Below are 18,351 nucleotides of genomic sequence, written 5' to 3' on the forward strand. Positions count from 1 at the left end.
CCAGGTGACTTGCCCAAGGTCACACAGCCTGTTCCCAGTGGCATTGCCTGGAGCCCAAGGCTGCTTATGCCGAAGCCCTGCCCCTAGCTCCTGCCATTTCCCTCCCTCCCTCCACCCACACCTGCTGTCCACACCATCCCGTTCACCTGCCAGCCAGTCACCCCGCAGGGAACAGGGTGTTGTTGAACTGTCTGTTGCCTGGCTGAGCTGCGCCTTCCTCCTCCTAGTGGAAGGGACTTGCTGGGGGAGGTTTCCACTGTACCCAGGCCCGAATCTGGGCTTGGGCAGAGGAGTCTTGGGCTCAAAGGTCAGGGAGGAGAAGAGGGAGTGCAGGGGAGGGGAGGGAGGACACAACCGTCACAGTCAGGAGGTCACATGCTCCCCGCACCTTGAGTGGGCTTCACAGAGGCCTGACAAGGAGGTAGCATCTGCAGAAACCACTGGGGCTGGCCTGGCTCACCTGAGGTCACATCTGGAAAGGGCCAGCTGGCATGGGGCCTGGGATGGAATTTCTCCACGATGCTCCCTGTCTCCTTCAAGAGGCAGAAAGGGGCCAGGCATGGAGACTCAAACCTGTAATCCCAGCACTTCGGGAGGCCAAGGTGGGCGGATCACCTAAGGTCAGGAGTTTGAGACCAGCCTGGCCAACATAGTAAAACCCCATCTCTACTAAAAAATAATACAAAAATACAAAAATTAGCCAGGTGTGGTGGCACGCACCTGTAGTCCCAGCTACTCAGGAGGCTGAGGTGGAAGAATCGCTTGAACCCGGGAGGCAGAGGTTGCAGTGAGCCAAGACCACGCCATTGCACTCCAGCCTGGGTGACAGAGTGAGAATCCATCTCAAAAAAAAAAAAAAAGCAGAAAGGGTGGAACATGGAGGGATGTGAGGGGCACGGAGGAGGCATGGTGTGATGCCACCCTGCTGAAGAAAGGCCTCTAGGTCCCGTGGCTCAGTTGGTCTGTGCCCCTGATGCCACCCATGGCCTCCTGCAGCCCCACCTCTGCTACCGGGACCTGCACAGCGCCTTGCTGTTGAATCCCAAGCACCCGCAGGCCAGGATGCTGCTCCAGAAGATGGTGGCCCAGGCCCAGCAGGCGCGCCAAGATGCGGGGATCCTGGCTGTGCAGGGCAAGCTGCAGCACGCACTGCAGCGGATCAACCGTGCCATCGAGAACAACCCTCTGGACCCCAGTCTCTTCCTCTTCCGGTACTGCATGGGAAGGTGCTGGCCTTGGGTCCCAGGTCCTGCCCAGCCAGACTTTCTGTGTGGTTTAAGGAGAGTCCCTGACCCTCTCTGGGCCTCAGTTTCCCCAGCTAGCCTCTAACAGTCTTTCCCTACTTCCTACTGGGTTAAGGCATTGCAGAGGTGGTCTCTGTTACTGCTGGAAGAGGGATGCCAACACATGTCTCAGTTACCCCAGGAATCCTAGAGCTGCAGCCTGCAAAGCAGTTCACGCTGGGCGCTGAGCCCAGCTCAGTGGAGGAGACTTAGGCTTGAGTCTGGTCCCAGGAACTTACCACATCCTGCTGCATTTCAGGAGGGAGTGCCGCTGCCCTGGCAGGAGTGACTCCAGGGGGCGGTCCACCCAGCCAATCTCTCCCTATGCCAAGGGGCTGGGTTCAGTATCCCACAAGTGATTCAGTGACATGAGAGGCCACTGTGATTTCGGGCCAATTAACCTATCCAAACAGTGGTGGTAAAACACCTGCTTCTTGTACAAAATGCTTTAATGTAGAGACTGGCATACACCTGGCTCCCAAAAAAGAAGGTATTTTTGCAAAAAAAAAAAAATGCTCAGTGCCTAGTGGGTTATCTGAGTAGCAGTCCAGAGCTGGCCCCACGGGACAAACCTAGCAAATGAGGTGGGATCCCCACTGCCTCCATGGGTCAGGAGGCCCAGAGCCGGCAGTGGCTTGTCTGGCCACTAGCCAGTCGGTGGGGGTGCACTGGCGCTCATGTCCCTCCTGCCGTCTCCCACGCCCCCCCCGACAGGGGCACCATGTACCGACGGCTCCAGGAGTTCGATGGGGCAGTGGAGGACTTCCTGAAGGTGCTGGACATGGTGACCGAGGACCAGGAGGACATGGTGCGGCAGGCACAGCGCCAGCTGTTGCTGACCTACAACGACTTTGCCGTGCACTGCTACAGGCAGGGCGCCTACCAGGAGGGCGTGCTGCTGCTGAACAAGGCCCTCCGGGACGAGCAGCAGGAGAAAGGACTCTACATCAACCGAGGCGGTGCGCAGCGACCAGGGCACTGGGGAGGGGGGGTGCGGGGGAGCCTCGCCATCTCTAAGGCCCCCACTGGGCACTTGAGGCCCCTGGGGGGAAGGAGGAAGGGAGAGAGGAAGGAAGCAAGGGAAGAGGAAATGTAATAGTCTCAGTATCCCAGGAACACACTTTGGGAAATGTTGCCTTAGACAAACTGGCTCCAGACTCCTTAAAATGCTCAAAACAGGCAGCTGGGGAACAGTGCCCAGACGCCCAGAAAACTAGAGAGGACGGAGACTGCGGCGGGGGGTTATCAGCCACCAGTTTCAGGCCCTGGCCCCCGGGCTGGAGCCGGCTGGGCTGGGGCTCCCGGGCACTGGGAGTTGGGGGTCCACTCACCCCCGCCTCCGGACCCTAGATTGCTTCTTCCAGCTGGGCAACCTGGCCTTTGCCGAGGCGGACTACCAGCAGGCGCTGGCGCTGAGCCCTCAGGACGAGGGCGCCAACACGCGCATGGGCCTGCTGCAGGAGAAGATGGGCTTCTGCGAGCAGAGGCGCAAGTGCGTGGGCTCCCGCCCCCACGGTGGGCGGGGCAGGCCCGAGGGCAGGGCGGGCAGGAGGCCAACTGCTGGGATCCCTGGGTCAATCAAGCTGCTTCTCTCCTCGGGGGCGATGGCTCATCCCTGTAATCCCCACGCAGGTGGATCGCCTGAGGTCGAGAGTTTGAGACCAATCTGGCCAATATGGTGAAACCCATCTCTATTAAAAATATAAAAAAATTTAAAAATTAGCTGGGCGTGGTGGTGTGTGCCTGTAATCCCAGCTACTCAGGAGGCTGAGGCACGGGAATCCCTTGAGCCAGGGAGGCGGAGCTGGCAGTTAGCCAGGATTGCGCCACTGCACTCCAGCCTGAGCGACAGAGTGAGACTCTGTCCCAAAAAAAAAGGCTGGGCACGGTGGCTCACGCCTGTAATCCCAGCACTTTGGGAGGCCGAGGCGGGCGGATCACAAGGTCAGGAGATCGAGACCATCCTGGCTAACCTGGTGAAACCCCGTCTCTACTAAAAATACAAAAAATTAGCCGGGCGTCGTGGTGGGCGCCTATAGTCCCAGCTACTCGGGAGGCTGAGGCAGGAGAATGGCGTGAACCCGGGAGGTGGAGCTTGCAGTGAGCCGAGATCAAGCCACTGCACTCCAGCCTGGGTGACAGAGTGAGACTCCGTCTCAAAAAAAAAAAAAAAAAAAAAAAGCTTCTCTCTCCGTTATGCTTTCCTTTTTTTTAGATGGAGTCTCACTCTGTTGCCCAGACTGGAGTGTAATGGCGCCATCTCAGCTCACTGCAACCTCCACCTCCCGGGTTCAAGCAACTCTCCTGCCTTAGCTTCCCAAGTAGCTGGGATTACAGGCACCTGCCACCACGCCCAGCTAATTTTTGTATTTTTAGTAGAGACAGGGTTTCACCATGCTGGCCAGGCTGGTCTCAAACTTCCCACCTCAGGCGATCCACCTGCCTTGGCCTCCCAAAGTGCTGGGATTACAGGCGTGAGCCACCATGCCCGGCCTATACTGCTTTTCTTTGTGATATTTTTACTACTCAATAACTTGGAACTTAATCATAGTCAAATTAATATATTCATTTTAGCCGATGGGTTTATGCCATTCTCAGAAACGCCTTCCCTACCCCAAGATCATAAAGATATTCATTGATGTTGGAGTTTCACACTGGCATCGAAGTGTTGGCTTCATCAGGGACGTACCTGATGGAGAGAGAGGAGAGGGGCGTGGTGAGGGGAGCAGACCTAGCCTGGTTTCCCTCTAACTCCTCAGTGGGGCCCAGTAGCCACCATTTTCCCCACAGATGGCCCAGCTCATAGCAGCTTGGGACCCACTGTGTCGTGCAGGCAGTTCCAGAAGGCAGAGAACCACTTCTCCACGGCCATCCGGCACAACCCCCAGAAGGCCCAGTACTACCTGTACCGGGCCAAGAGCCGGCAGCTGCTGCAGAACATTTTTGGGGCCCGCCAGGATGTGGCCACTGTCCTGCTCCTCAACCCCAAGCAACCAAAGGTAGGTTCCTGCCACGTCAGGAGTGTAGGCTCCGGAGTCATGCCCGGTGCATAAAGATACTCCTCGGCCCCCAAAGAAATCTGGTTTGATAACAATCATAAGGCCAGGCATGGTGGGTCATGCCTGTAATCCCAGCACTTTGGGAGCCCAAGGCGGGTGGATCACTTGAGGTCAGGAGTTCGAGACCCACCGGGCCAACATGGTGAAACCCCATCTCTACTAAAAATACAAAAAGCAGCCAGGCATGGTGGTGCACGGTTATAATTCCAGCTACTCAGGAGGCTGAGGCATGAGAATCGCTTCGACCCGGGAGGCAGAGGTTGCAGTGAGCCAAGTTTGTGCCACTGCACTCCAGCCTGGGCGATAGAGTGAGACTCTGTCTCAAAAAAAAAAAAAAAAAAAAAAAAAAAAAAAAAACAAACAAGCAAACAAAAAACATTGCAAAACTCTTCCTTCTTCAGCCCTGGGAAGGGCCAAATCTGGCTGTGCAGGGTCAGGGCAGCATCGTGCTGTCTGTCTGCTGCTCTGGCCCTCACCTGGCTCTGGTCACCCCCTTTCGTGGCAGCTGTCCCTGCTGATGACCAACCTCTTCCCGGGCATGTCGGTGGAGGAGGTGCTTAGCACCCAGATAGCCCACCTGGCCAGGCTGCAGCTGGAGCAGATGGTGGAGGGCAGCCTGCAGGCCGGCAGCCCACAAGGCATTGTGGGGTAAGCCCTGGAGCAAGGGGCACAGGCCAGGGCTGGGGAATGGCTGCAGCTCCAGGCTCCTCTGGCTCCAGCTGCATGACGGGGCCGTTGTCTAGTCCTTGGAGAGACCAGCATGGGCCAGGGAGACTGACAATACCTGGGGGGTATCGTTTGGCAGGATGCTTAAACGGCACGAGTTGGAGCGCCAGAAGGCCTTGGCCCTGCAGCACTCATGGAAGCAGGGGGAGCCTTTGATTGCGACCTCCGAGGAGCTGAAGGCCACCCCTGAGATTCCGCAGGTAAAACCGGGAAGCTCAGAGGGAGAGGCTGAGGCCCCTGAGGAGGAGGAAGAAAAGGAGAAGGAGAAAAAAGAGGTAAGTGGAGTACAGGCCAGGGCTCGGAGCCCTTGGGGTCTGGGGCACAGCGTACCCCAGCCCAGGGCTGAAGGATGCAGGCCAGTGGAGTCTGGCTTCCAGGCCTGGCTCTGCACTCCCTCAGCTGTGTGATGGGCTGGGGACATCTTGCTATGAGATGGGGATGGTACCAGCAAGGGGTGCTCCTGACGGAGGGTGTGTGGGGATGTGGGCCCTCAGAGAGAGGAGTCACAGCCCTGCTCATGGTCACTGTCATGAATTCTACTGTAGGCACTAGCCACTTGCCACTTGTGCCAGAATTTTTTGTTTTTGAGTCGGAGTCTTGCTCTGTCAACCTAGGCTGGAGTACAGTGGCACAATCTCGGCTCACTGCAACCTCCGCCTCCTGGGTTCAAGCAATTCTCATGCCTTAGCCTCCCAGGTAGCTGGGATTACAGGTGTGTGCCACCACATCCGGCTAATTTTTCGTATTTTTAGTATTTTTGTTGGGCTTAAGTGATCTGCACACCTGGGCCTCCCAAAGTGCTGGGATTACAGGCATGAGCCACTGCACCCGGCCCCCAGAATTTTCTTAATTCTTAAATTTGTTTCTGAAAACCTCTTATTGAACGTAACATAAATATAGAAAAGTGCACAAATCATAAGTACCGGTTTGATGAATTTTCACAAACTGCATTACACCCATGATAGCATTATCCAGATCGAGAAAGAACATTTTCCCAGCTCCCAGAAGCCCCTTGGGGCCCCCTTCGAGGCCCCTCCCGTAACCCACCCCACCTACAAGGCTGTCTTGATTCCTGACACCAAACATGAGTTTCGTCTTTTCTTCACATAAATGGACAGCATGGTGAGCGTCACTCACGCTGCGGCGGGTGGCAGCGGCCTGCTCCCTCTCGCTGGTGCTGCAGAATATTCCGTCCTTGACAGTCCCACAGTGTGTTCCTCTGTTCTACTGCTGGTAGACATCAAGTACACTAATGTTCAAAGGAAACTTGAAGCAATTGAAGTAGAGGAATACCAGCATCCCTTGCCATCAATAGAAAATGTGGCTGGGCGCGGTGGCTGACACCTGTAATCCCAGCACTTTGGGAGGCCAAGATGGGCAGATTGCTTGAGCCCAGGAGTTCAAGACTAGCCTGGGCAACATGGCAAAACCCTGTCTCTGCAAAAAATACAAACATTAGCCAGGCATGGTGGTGTATACCTATAGTCCCAGCTACTTGGGAGGCTGAGGCAAGAGGATCTCTTGAGCCCCAGAGTCATTTGAGGCTGCAGTGAGCCGTAATCATACTACTGCATTCCAGCCTAGGTGAGAGAGCCAGACCCTGTCTAAAGAAGAAAAGAAAAAAGGAAAGAAAGTGCTAGCTCTTCAGTTTTCTAGCTCATGTTAGAATGAATATTAAAGTACACACCTTCCCTCTGTGTGACCCCTGAAGTCAGAGGCCCCCTCCCCCAGGGAGACGTTGGGCTGAAGTGGATGGAGCCCAGAGCGCAACTCCCAGCTGGCACCTGGAGCACTATGGTGTACCTCGCTGTCTACAGGTGTGAACGTGGGCAGAGACCCGCAGCCTAGGTAGGGTCTGGCTGTGGCAGCCAGCAGACCTGGATTCAAACCCGGCCTCTCTGCTTCTTAGCCGAGTGGCCCTGGACAGGTTGCTTAGGGGCTCTGAGCTTTGGTTTCCTGTTCAGTGAAATGGTCATTAGCAGCTCTCCCCATCCCTCCGTCTTCACTTGTATTGGGAGAATGGATGGGGGTAAAGCCTACAGAAGCTCCTCAAGTCCTCCGTAAGCATTCCCCAGGGCACAGCCCTTTACAATTTACAGAAGCCTGTTCCACACCTGAACTAATTTTCATTTTGCAGTTGAAAAAAACCAAGGCGCTAGCAGCTCCTTCAACACAACCGTTCTCACGGCACCATGCCTGTCTAGCCTGGTCGCTCCCCTTCCTGCCAGGCTTAGCCTCTGCGTGTCCCCACCCCACTCTAACCTGGCACCTTCAAAGACCTCCAAGCTCAGGAGAATGACCACCGAGGGGCCCAGGGCTGCTGGCCTTCTAGAGGTGCAGCTGCACGGGCCTCCTACCATCTGAACTACAAAGCCTGTTTCTTGCCATAGGAGAAAAAATCAGAGCTCATACCTAGCAAGGTGGCGTCCCTGTCTGACAGCTACCTTGACCAGACCTCTTCAGCCTCCAGCATGAGCTGTAAGTCCCTGGTGCTTCCGCCAGGCCTCAGGAAGCTAAGGCAGCAGGGTAGTCAAAGCTCAGGGGTCGAAGACCGCTGGCCTAGGTGTGCGTTCGGCCCCGCTGCTGACAGCTGGGTGGCCTGGGGCGAGTGGCTCTAGAGCGGGAGTAACACTGTTGCGGGGCTGCCCAGGACGAGGTGAGGCTTGCTCCAGGCACTTCATGGTAGCTGCTGCTCTGCTCTCATCCCCTCCTAGCCCTGTCCCTGAAATAAGCCCACAAACCTTGTGCATGGCCAGGGGGCTTTTAGCCCCAGTACATAGGGCCCTAGCCTGGAGGAGACAGAAGTGAAGAATGGGGAGGCTGCTCCTCAGAGGCCCCAAGGCGGGTGTGCGCAGTCCTCGCTCGGGAGGCGAGTGGCAGGGCCCAGGCCCCTTCTTCATTTTGTGAATCCAGCAAACTCCCCAAGTGCCCTGGGCCAGGCCTGTGCTCAATACTAGGCACAGGAATGACTGGCATAGTCCTTGCCCTGAGACATGAATTCTAAGCTCCAACAGGAAGAAGGCTCCCAGGTGACCCACAGCCAGGAGACAGGGCAGACACAGTGCGGGGGAAGCCGGGGTGTGGGTGCATTTAGCGCCTTTTAGTGGGGACGAGGATGGAAAAGCAGGAGGGTGCCAGGCGGGGGGACGCAGGGGCCCTGCTGGGGCTGTCTGCTGCAACAGGAGCACAGAGGGCAGGGGCAGCCACAGAGCAGAGGCCTGGGACTGGGAGAAGGGGGCTCCTAGGCATCTCCCCCATCTCACAGCCCCACCCCTCAGGGTCTGGGTCGCTGGGGGCTGGGCGGGGGTGATCTGCAGGTCTTTCCCTTTGGTGATGCGAAGCCTCTGGGCCACAGGCCAGTGTGAGATTGGGAAGCCCCTTTTCCCAGAGCTGTCCAGGGCAGGTGCGGCAGGCCTGATGGGTGCTTTTGGCACCCCCTTCCTAGTCAGGACCACAGGCACCTCAGAGACTGAGATGTCGGCTATCTGCCAGGAATACAGGAGCACCTCAGCCACCGCCGTGACATTCTCTGACTCGTCACTGTTGAAGACGCAATCCTCGGACTCTGGGAACAACAGGGAGGCACTAAGCCATGGTCCCAGAAAAATCAAGGCCACCCAGGGCCAGAGGCAGAGCCTTAGCAAGACTGAGCCCACCCAGAGCCAGAGGCGGAACTCCAGCAAGACCAAGGCCACTATACACAAGAGGAACTCCAGCAAGACCAAGGCCACCCAAAGCCAGAGGCGGAACTCCAGCAAGACCAGGGCCACCCAGGGCCAGGGGCAGAGCTCCAGCAAGACTGAGGCCACTCAGGGCCAGAGGCAGAGCTCCAGCGAGATTGAGGCCACCCAGGGCCCAAGGCAGGAGCCCAGCAAGACCAAGACCACCCGGAGCCCAAGGCAGAGGCCCAGAAAGGTCAAGGCTGCTCGTGGCCGGAGCTGGAGACCCAGCAAGGTTGATGCCACCCAGGGCCGAAGCAGGGGACTGCTCCGAAGTTCCACCAAGACTGAGGCTTTCTATGACTCAAACTGGAGCCTCAGCAAAACTGAGTATGCCCAAGGCCAGGGCCAGAGGTCCAGCAAGGCTGAGGGTGCCCAGGGCAAGAGCCAGGGCATGAGCTCAACTTCCAGCAAGGCCGAGTCCACCTGGGGACCCAGCCCAAGTCTCAGCAAAACTGAGGTTGATCAGGACCTCACCTACTATGAAGCTGTCTGAAGGGACCATCCAGACCCTCCCTTCTTGCTGGGGAGGGGACGAGTTCTACCCACCTCCCCACACTGGCACTCAGCCAGCTGCCTCCTTCCAGAGCAATTAAAAGTCTTAGCAACAGTCCTCTGGTCCCACAGCTGAGTTTATTATACTTGTTTTCTTTTACAAAATTAAAAACATCTAAAACCAGGCCCAAGTGGCAGCTTGAGTCCCTCCATTTCTGGAAACTGAGAAGGCTCCACCTGGCTTGATATGGACACAGGGTGTGGGGTGGAGGGGAGGAGGTATGGTGCCCGACCAAGGAGGCAAGGGGCAAGGGTGGCAGACTGAGGAGGGAGCACCGCCACGAGCCACAGTCCCTGAGTTATAATTCACAGTAAGAAGGCTCAGGCTGCAGGGGGAGGTCAAGGCTCAGTGAGGTTCTGGGGTGACCAGGGGTTTCCCTGGGGAAGGTGGCCGGGGCCAAGATGCTCTCGAGCCAGTTTAGAGGCCAGGGCCCTTCCTGGCCATCTGTCCCGTGGCCTAGCCGACACTCCGTTCATCTCACTTGGTGCTCTGGGTTCCTGTGACAGAGGCCCCTGGCCTTTCCTGCATGGCCTGGCCATCAGGGGGGCCGAGGACACCACTCAGAGAGTCAGAGGAAGAAGGCGATTCGGGAGGCCACGGTCTTGCAGCCGTTGGAGGAGAAGAGCTGCTCGTCTTCAGGGAAGAAGGTGGTGCTGTCCAGCACAGCCTGGACAACCTCATCCCTTGGCTCCAGGCCCAGCTGGGCCAGCTCGTTGAGCACGCAGTGCCGGACGTGGTGCCGCTGGAGCGGGAGGAAGGGCACCACTGCGTCTAGGAGGCGCTCTTCCATGATGCCCGAGTTTGAGAAGCCATCTGCAGGAAGGGTAGGTGGGGAGGGGACTTTGTGCTTCACAAGAGGGGAGAAGCCGGCCCCAAACCCCCAGGGGCAGGAGGAAAAATGCTGGCCTCAGTTCCCTCAGCCGCCTTCTGGGTGTAGGACTCAGGGGCTGTAAGGCTCACCCAAAGTCACAAAGCTGGGAGTGCCAAAGCCAGGCTCAGAACTGCCGGGTCAGTGGGCAAAGCATGAGACCCCGGGAGAGCCTGGCCCCTGGGTGTGGGGTGAAGCTGCCCGGGAGGGGGCTGCTGAGCCAGACTCACGGTGCGGGTTGTCCAGCACCGCGCGGGAGATGACCGGCTCCAGCTCCTGCAGGAGGATCTCCTCGCGGTCCCGCCGGCTGCGCCACGCCTCCAATGCCACCTGGTTGATCTGCTTGCCACCCGTGTTGCTAAAACCATGGGGGACCCAGGCTGAGACTCAGATGAGGACTAGCGCAGGGCAGGATTGGACCCTCGCTTCCCCGCTGCCACCTGACATAGGAACATGGCTCAGTGCGGGGAGGAGCCAACTCCACTGAAAACGCTCCACTTCCCCCTCCATGGTGTCCACATCCATGGCCCCTGTAATTCACCTACACATGCCACGTACTTTATAGTTTACAAAACACTTTTGTGTCCCTCAACTGACTTTCCCTCACTGAACTTCCAGGAAGGCATCGGGGCATCATTATTGGCCCCGCTGTTCAGAAGCAGAGACAGAGGCTCAGAGAGGCGGAGCCATGCTGCCTGAGGAAACACAGCGAGGATTCTGAGAGCTGGGACTAAAGGACAAGAACTCTGTTCCTATTTTTCCCAGGCCTGTGTCCTCCTCACCACAAAAGAGGGAAAACTTCTTGACCTGGCAGGGCTTCCACAAAGAAGTGGCGATCAAAAAGACTGAGCCCAGAATTTGCTGAGAATGTCCAAAGGGAAATCAACCAGGCGGAATGACAATGTCATCTCTGAGAGTGGCGGAGGGCACTGGGAAAGCCCAGCTAAGCCCATGGGGAACTGGATTCTGCTGGGAGCACAGGCTAAGGCTGTAGAGCTGAACCTCTGAGAAGTGGCCCCCCCACTGTGCCCACTGCAAAGCCGGGCCCCACCTGATGAAGATGAAGATGGCTTTGCGGTAATTGGTCCCGTATACCACCCAGGAGGAGCCCAGGAAAGGCCGCAGGACTTCCATCAGGCCTGGGGGCATCTTGTCCATCTCATCGAAGAGGAAGAGGGAGCGGCCACAGGCAGTGAGGTTCCCTTGGACCCAGCTCTTCAGATCCTTCTGTAGGGGAGAGACAGGAGTTCCAGGGGAGCTGGAGAAACTCCCCCAACACCAGACCTCTTCCCAAACCAAAACTAATCTCCTTTCTAGGGAAGGATGTGGTCTTCCAGAGAGCACCAACCTCTTAGTGAGACTGATGGTGAAACTGTATCCCAGATTGGGGCAGAGACTTGCCCAAAGTCACACAGCCAGTCAGAACAGGGACTCAAACCCAAGCCTCCCACTTCCCTGTTCAGAGCTCCTTCCACGACACTTGCTGCTTTCTATAAAAGGGGAAGGCTCCTTCCTGCTCCCTGAAACTACACAGCAGTGTTGACGGCTGAAACTGATCAGCCTGGTGGGTACCCTGCAATCAACAACAGTAGTAGTAAGAGCCAATATTTCCTGATGCTTCCTCTGAGCCACAAATTGGGGCTGATTTCCAGCAAGACAACAGTGCAGATTATCTGACAAACATAGGTGCTCCATAAATGATATCTGCAATGGTATAATCTCATGTCCCTCACAACAACCCTGGCATGTAGGTACTGCCAGGGTTCCTTACTGCCCCAAGGAATCAAAGTACTCCCTGCCAGGTAGAATGACACCTTCCCAAGTTCTGTGCAGGATGGGTCCTGAGGGCTGGGGCTGCAGCCGTGTGTGGCCTGGAGCAGGTGACTCCCCTGTCTGGGCTCAGGACTTACTCCCTAGGGTGGCACCCCATGGTGAGAACAGTGGTCAAGGACGCATCCAGCCTACCTTGTAGCGCTCGATGTGGCTGGGGTGGGGGAAGTGGAGGACGGGAGAAAAGTGGTGCACGCGGGGGCTGCGGAGGCCGCCCTGGAAGAGGTAGTGCGCCAGCAGGGAGCTGACATAGGATTTGCCGGTGCCGGTCCAGCCGTGCAGGGAGAGGACCAGCGGCTTGGTGGGGGCTGGGTCCCGCACAAAGGCCTTCAGCGCCTTCACCACCAGCGCCTTGGCCAGATGCTGGCCGGCCAGGTGCTGAGCCAGGTCACACTCCAGACCTAGGGCCACAGGAGGATGGTGAGGACACATCCCACCGAGGCAGAGGTTCAAGGAGAACATCATGTCTGGAACCTGGTCTGGGACTCCTGTGTCCTTACGTTTGTCCAAGCTGCCTATGCACATGGCACGCAAACCTTGGGGTCTGTGGCGGAAAAGAGCCACCTTCGGGCCTGATTCAGCTCGGCAGCGCCCCCACCAGGCGGTCCTCTAGATTGCACTCAGCTCTAAATGCGAGCTGTCAACGGGGTCAGCCGCAGACCCCGCCCATCCCCAAGGCGCACTGCACTTCTCCTTTGACGGCCAGGCCATTCCGGGGAGGCCCAAGAACTTCCACCAAGGGTTCTGCTGGCTGAGGCCTCTCTCCAGGTTGGCAGGGCCTCCTGGACCTCAACGGGTACCCTCCACCCTCCCAAGTCTGCGGGCCCCGCCCCTCGGTCCCACCCTCTGGGTCCTCAGCTTCTCTGGCCGGCGCCAGCCGGGCTCCCAGGGCTCCCAGCGCTCCCGCGTCTGCCCGCGTCCGCCCGCCCCTCGCTCCGGGCTCCCTGGCGCCTCACCCGGCAAGTCGGGCCGGAAGTCGCATTCGCAAAAGGCGCCCAAGGTGCAGCGCAGGGAAGCCAGGTCCCAGGCGGCGGCCGCGGCCGAGACCAGCCCGAGCAGCCCGAGGAGCGAGCCCCAGGGCCGGCAGCCGCGCGTCGCAGCCGCCATCCGGGTGAGGCCCGAGCTCGTTGTGGGGCAGTCAACTGCCTCGCCCGGGAACTGCAACTCCCGGCGTGCACCGCTCCGCAGCAGCCACGCCCATCGCCTACAACTCCCGACGCTCCTCTCCCCGCCTCCAAGGCCCGCCCGTCGTTCCGCAGCAGGACCAGAAGGTGGCCTCCAGGGGGAACCCGCGAACCGTCCAATCCGGGACGGCGGGCCGCGTTTCCATGGCCACGGTAACTAGGGGACCATCGTAGTGGCTCAGAAAGAATAAATAAAGGATCACGACCACAAAGGGCGACGTAACAATTACAGCAAAAACTTGTGCGGAACCTTACACCTTGCAAAGCGCCTTTTCCATGCTCCTTTTTTCTTCTATATGACAAAAGTGCCCTCACTAACAGCTTTTGGTGAGCACTTACTCTGTGCCATTAGTGCTAAGTGCCTATATACCTTATAATATGGTAATAGTATCTGCTATCCAGAGAAATGGTGGTGTTCCAATGAGATAAAGGCACACAAATTGTCTGGCTCAGAAAGTGGTCAATACATGATCATCAACATTCCGTTGTGTATTAAACAGGACTGTCCCTCACCTAGCAGCAACTGTGGCCAAATGCTTGGTATCAGTCCTGGGAGATGGGTTCTGTTGTTGTCCCCATCTTAATAAGGAGGAATTTGGGACCGAAGAGGTTAAGCCTCTTACCCAATGTCACGCAGCTGGTAAACAATAGAACTAAACCCAAGTCTGGCTGCAACCAGAGCCGTAGTGCGTGGTTGCATGTTATCAGCCTCTCTTGGTCAAAGGATTCAGAAGGCAAAGGACTCCAGACGTTTGAGGTTCAGCGCGCAGGCTCCCTAGGCCTCCAGCTTGGCCTGGATTCGTTTTGATCCACGTTGCCCACCTCCCCCACCCACTGGAGTAAGGGAACCAAGACAACAGCCTTCATGGCCCACCTCAAAGACCCTGTCCCTACCAACCTCAACACATAGTCACACACACACACACACACACACACACACACGACTTCTGGGGCCAAATATCAGAGCCTGAAAAAGAAATAAGTATTTCCGGCCAGGTGCGGTGGCTCATGCCTGTAATCCCAGCACTTTGGGAGGCCGAGGCGCGTGAATCAACATGGCGAAACCCCGTCTCTACTACAAATACGAAAATTAGCCGGGCGTGGTGGCAGGCTCCCGTAATCCTGGCTACTCTGGAGGCTAAGGCAGGAGAATCGCTTAAACCCGGGAGGCGGAGGTTGCAGTGAGAAGAGTGAAACTCCATCTCAAAAAGAAAAAGAAAGGAAAGGAAAGGAGAAACAGAAAGGATGAAAAGAGAGAGAAAGAAAGGAAGGAAGGAAGAAAGAAAGGAAAGAAAGAAAGAGAAAGAAAAAGAAAGAGAAAAGAAAGGAAGGAGGGAAGGAAGGAAGGAAGGAGAAAGAAGAAAGAAAGAGAAGAAAGAAAGAAAAAGAAAGAGAGGAAGGAAGGAAGGAAGGAGGCCGGGCACGATGGCTCACGCCTGTAATCCCAGCACTTTGGGAGGCCGAGGCGGGCGGATCACAAGGTCAAGAGATCAAGACCATCCTGGCCAACATGGTGAAACCCCGTCTCTATTAAAAGCACAAAAATTAGCTGGGCGTAGTGGCGCATGCCTGTAATCCCAGCTACTGGGGAGGCTGAGGCAGGAGAATCGCTTGAACCCGGGAGGCAGAGGTTGCAGTGAGCTGGGATTGTGCCACTGCACTCCAGCCTGGTGACAGAGCAAGACTCCATCTCAAAAAAAAAAAAAAAAAAAAAAAAAAAAACAAGAAAGAAAGAGAGAGAGAGAGAAAGAAAAGGAAAGAAAGAAAGAAAAGAAGAAAATGAGTAGTTCCCACTATCAAGGAGAAAAAAGGAGAGAAGTCTGGGTCCAGGAAGCCAGGTGGAGCCTTTCCCACTCTGCTGCTGCTGTGACCCGGGAAAAGTCCCTTCTCCTTTCAGGTACCAGTCTTCAAGAGGGGAGTTGGGATCATAGATTTCAAAAAGCCCTTCCACCCCAAATCCTCGGATTTTTGGTTGTGCATTTGTGGGAACTGTTGCCATGGCATCCATCCCAGGGCAGGGCAGGGGATAGGAGCACTGGGTTGGAATTAGCTATTTATCTCTCCCGCTGGTCTGTGAGCTCCCAGAAAGCAAGGATTGGGTTTTCATATTTGCTGTAACCCTGGCTCCTGGCACAATCTGGACTGTCCCAGGTGCTAAAGAAGTATTTGTTGTTGAGTCCTAATTAGGGAAAATGAGTCATGCTGATGGGACCAGGGGAAAGCAAAAAGAGAAAGCAGATAAGCTCAAAGTCTGCCTTTTTTTTTTTTTTTTTTTTTTTGAGACGGAGTCTCGCTCTGTTGCCCAGGTTGGAGTGCAGTGGCGCGATCTTGGCTCACTGCAAGCTCCACCTCCCAGGTTCACGCCATTCTCCTGCCTCAGCCTCCCAAGCAGCTGGGACTACAGGCGTCCACCACCACGCCCGGCTAATTTTTTGTATTTTTAGTAGAGACAGGGTTTCACCATGTTAGCCAGGATGGTCTTGATCTCCTGACCTGGTGATCCGCCTGCCTCAGCCTCCCAAAGTGCTGGGATTACAGGCATGAGCCACCATGCCTGGCCAGAAGTCTGCCTTCTTGATGGTTCAGGACACACAGCCCTCCTGTGCCCAACTTCTCACCGGACACATGTAGGTTAGCCCACTGCAACCTTGGCATTATCAGTACTGCAGAAAGCCCTGTTCAGCACACAGCAGAAATGCCATCCCATAAAAACTCACAGCAAGGCTTTGTCTCTTTGCAGTCAGCTCCTCTTCTGCTGATCTGCCCGTTGCTACCTTGCAATGCATTTTCATGCTTCCTGAAATAAATCTGCCTTTCTTTACCTACAACTGTCTTGGTAAATTCTTCTTACTCCCATGCCACTGGCCCCAGATACTCGGCACTCACTCACAACATTTGTTGAATGAAGTTTTCTACCTTTCGCCTGAGAAAAGGTGCTTCCTTCTACCCCAGGAGCCCGAGAGACAGAATAAAGAGTCATAAAAGTTTATTATATGAAAGAAATAACATGGCTTCTGTACATCTATTTACAGAACAGAGACTTATTTACAGTGAGATGGAGGCCTTGGTGTTGGTGAGGGACAGACAGAGAGTGAGGAGGCGTGAGCAGCCTGCCTCCCATGGCTCGAAAACAGGGAACCCCAGCAGGAAGGGGAGCAGCAAAAGCTGGTGGGGGAACCGGCGTTCCTGTTCTTCCTCAATGGAGACCTGGTGAGCATGTAGCAGGTGGGATGGAACCCAGAGTCCACGCAGGACCCTGGAGGTGCAAGGGAGATGCTTGAGTTGAACCCAGAACATTCTCGGGTTGATCACAGTGTCCTTGGGGTGCTCTGGGGAAAGTTGTGTGCCCCTCTGCCCCTGACGCTGTCCGCAGCTGCAGAGGGGAAATGTCCCTGGGGTCACAGCTCGCTGGAGCGGACAGCAGGTTCCAGCTTGTGGGACAGGGCAGTGAGGACCTTGTCGAACTTCTCATAGCGCCGGGCCTGGCTGCTGCTGGCACCCTGACTGCCCCAGAGAAGGCGCATCTGGAACTCCGTGCTGAACACCTCCAGGAGCTCCGGCCGGGCCTGGAACCCTGCAGTGTTGGGGCATAGGGTCAGGGCAGAGGCTGGGGTTCCTGTCCAGAGCCCTAGCATTCTTCAGGACCCCCCTGTTAGGGACCTCCCCTCAACTCCGCCAGGGATCCAACAAGGTTTGTGAATCAACACGACCCTGTAGTTTAGCATCTTTGTCCTGTTATTTGCAGCATATAATTTAAAAATGACTAGACCATAAAATATTAATGTTAAATATGTTTGCAGATTTTTGGTGATTTTTTTTCTTTTTTCGTATTTTTCTGTTAAGTTCCAAATTATTTCCTAAGAAAGATGTATACATTTTAGGCTGGGTGCGGTGGCTCACACCTGTAATCCCAGCACTTTGGGAGGCCAAGGCGGGTGGATCACCTGAGGTCAGGAGTTCAAGACCAGCGGCCCAACATGGTGGAACCCCACCTCTACTAAAAATACAAAAAATTGGCCAGGTATGGTGGCTCACGCCTGTAATTGCAGCTACTCGGGAGGCTGAGGCAGGAGAATCGCTTGAACTTGGGAGGCGGAGGTTGCAGTGAGCCGAGACTGTGCCACTGCACTCCAGCCTGGGCGACAGTGTGAGACTCCATCTCAAAAAAAAAAGAAAAAAGAAAAGAAAAGACATGAGAGGAAGGGGTCAGGGAGACAGGGCAGGACAGAGGAGTGGAGAAATGTGAATGGATGCCTTGGAGAAAAGGGAAGCAGTGAGGCAGGTGGAGGGAGGCCCAGGCCTGCAAGCCCCCCAAGATGCCACCCGCCACTCACCCTGCAGCTTGACTTCAGCATTGGTGTGGTACAGGCCTCCGTGGTGTGCCACTGTGCGGGCGGCCTCCAGGTGAGCCAGCACCACCTCCACGCCGTGCTCCGTGCTGCCCCAGGGCTCAGGGCCCTCTGGTGGGGCCGAGTCACACTCCAGCAGGGTGATGAGGGGCAGCACATGAGGAAACGTGGTGTTGCTCAGCGGCGGGCCTTCTGCAAGGAGAAAGGCAGCAGGCGCTTAAAGATCCTGTAGTGCCCCACCATCCACTGCAGTCCTGGAAGCTGAGGTGCAGGAGGGAACGGGCCTGGCTGAGGTCCGGGAGAGAGCCCCAAGGGCTCCTGACTCCTGGGACAAACCCTTTCTTTCGGATTCCCCCAACTGAACCCACTGCAGCCCTGGCCCAGCCCCAAGGGCTGAGCCTGGACATGAACAGGGCTGACACAGCTGCCAGCAGGAACAGTGAGCTCAGGGAAAGTAGCTTGCACAGAGCTCAGCCAGGCTGTCATCACTGTCCATGCTGGGAGTCTTTGCAACCCCAGGGAGGGCTGCAGCCTGTCCAAGGTCACGCAACAAGGAAGTACCTTTGCCCTCGTTGAGGCTCTTGAGAAAAGGCTTGAGCTTCTTCTCGTACAGGATGGCACCCTCTGTGTGTCGCTGCCGCAGGGTCACCCATGTCTGCTCCAGCCGAGAAATCTGGGGAGGCCAAACTGTGAGAGACCAGCCAGGCAGAGGGCCTGCAGGGGCCACCCTGCTGCCCTGCTGAGTGGACACCCAGATGTGGGATCGTTATTATTATT

The 18,351-nt window shown here is 56.3% G+C and overlaps 3 protein-coding genes across 36 annotated transcripts in view, besides 4 other annotated features; 1 reads left to right on the forward strand and 2 right to left on the reverse strand.

Annotated features, from left to right (window-relative positions):
* Nucleotides 1–9,468, forward strand: part of TTC16 (tetratricopeptide repeat domain 16) — a 15,512-nt gene extending 6,044 nt beyond the window's left edge. For 4 of the 19 annotated variants that reach the window (XM_011518285.3, XM_011518288.3, XM_047422838.1 and 1 more), the window contains 6 exons: nucleotides 997–1,211; nucleotides 1,998–2,242; nucleotides 4,117–4,282; nucleotides 5,148–5,343; nucleotides 7,459–7,546; nucleotides 8,514–9,468. In XM_011518285.3, coding sequence (XP_011516587.1) covers nucleotides 997–1,211; nucleotides 1,998–2,242; nucleotides 4,117–4,282; nucleotides 5,148–5,343; nucleotides 7,459–7,546; nucleotides 8,514–9,283 — 1,680 coding nt within the window. In that variant the 3' untranslated portion in view covers nucleotides 9,284–9,468. Of the gene's footprint in view, nucleotides 1–996; nucleotides 1,212–1,997; nucleotides 2,243–2,633; nucleotides 2,776–4,073; nucleotides 4,283–4,847; nucleotides 4,991–5,147; nucleotides 5,344–6,186; nucleotides 6,459–6,779; nucleotides 6,887–7,205; nucleotides 7,547–8,513 lie in introns of those variants that run through there. The other 15 variants (NM_144965.3, NM_001317037.2, XM_011518284.3 and 12 more) reach the window with 13 other exon arrangements.
* Nucleotides 4,492–4,993: an enhancer, noted in NCBI's record as "H3K4me1 hESC enhancer chr9:130488893-130489394 (GRCh37/hg19 assembly coordinates)". NCBI's record gives its function as "activates a minimal SCP1, AML or CMV promoter by ChIP-STARR-seq in primed H9 embryonic stem cells {active_cell/tissue: H9 hESC(primed)}" and the evidence as "EXISTENCE:reporter gene assay evidence [ECO:0000049][PMID:30033119]".
* TOR2A (torsin family 2 member A) lies at nucleotides 9,402–13,172 on the reverse strand. 10 transcript variants are annotated; one of them, XM_011518554.3, is made up of 5 exons: nucleotides 12,998–13,172; nucleotides 12,177–12,442; nucleotides 11,263–11,435; nucleotides 10,442–10,569; nucleotides 9,402–10,156 (listed from the first exon to the last, which is right to left on the reverse strand). In XM_011518554.3, the coding sequence occupies exons 1-5, from the start codon at nucleotides 13,146–13,148 to the stop codon at nucleotides 9,912–9,914; spliced, it is 963 nt and encodes a 320-aa protein (XP_011516856.1). In that variant the 5' UTR covers nucleotides 13,149–13,172; the 3' UTR covers nucleotides 9,402–9,911. The 10 variants fall into 10 exon arrangements, with proteins under 10 accessions (XP_011516856.1, NP_001078816.2, NP_001238950.2 ...); NM_001085347.3 differs by having other exon boundaries at nucleotides 11,263–11,438; NM_001252021.2 differs by lacking the exon at nucleotides 12,177–12,442.
* Nucleotides 11,746–12,652: an enhancer, noted in NCBI's record as "H3K27ac-H3K4me1 hESC enhancer chr9:130496147-130497053 (GRCh37/hg19 assembly coordinates)". NCBI's record gives its function as "activates a minimal SCP1, AML or CMV promoter by ChIP-STARR-seq in naive and primed H9 embryonic stem cells {active_cell/tissue: H9 hESC(naive and primed)}" and the evidence as "EXISTENCE:reporter gene assay evidence [ECO:0000049][PMID:30033119]".
* Nucleotides 12,396–12,445: an enhancer, noted in NCBI's record as "active region_29048". NCBI's record gives its function as "activates an Ori minimal core promoter by ATAC-STARR-seq in GM12878 lymphoblastoid cells {active_cell/tissue: GM12878}" and the evidence as "EXISTENCE:reporter gene assay evidence [ECO:0000049][PMID:35858748]".
* Nucleotides 12,876–13,165: a silencer, noted in NCBI's record as "silent region_20308". NCBI's record gives its function as "represses an Ori minimal core promoter by ATAC-STARR-seq in GM12878 lymphoblastoid cells {active_cell/tissue: GM12878}" and the evidence as "EXISTENCE:reporter gene assay evidence [ECO:0000049][PMID:35858748]".
* SH2D3C (SH2 domain containing 3C) overlaps nucleotides 16,195–18,351 on the reverse strand; it is a 40,350-nt gene continuing 38,193 nt past the window's right edge. For all 7 annotated transcript variants that reach the window (NM_170600.3, NM_005489.4, NM_001252334.2 and 4 more), the window contains 3 exons: nucleotides 18,136–18,247; nucleotides 17,560–17,766; nucleotides 16,195–16,799 (listed from right to left, as the gene is read on the reverse strand). In NM_170600.3, the coding sequence (NP_733745.1) occupies nucleotides 16,624–16,799; nucleotides 17,560–17,766; nucleotides 18,136–18,247 (495 nt within the window). In that variant the 3' untranslated portion in view covers nucleotides 16,195–16,623. The remainder of the gene's footprint in view (nucleotides 16,800–17,559; nucleotides 17,767–18,135; nucleotides 18,248–18,351) is intronic.

This window comes from Homo sapiens, chromosome 9 (genome assembly GCF_000001405.40).
Source record: "Homo sapiens chromosome 9, GRCh38.p14 Primary Assembly".
Lineage (NCBI taxonomy): Eukaryota > Metazoa > Chordata > Mammalia > Primates > Hominidae > Homo > Homo sapiens.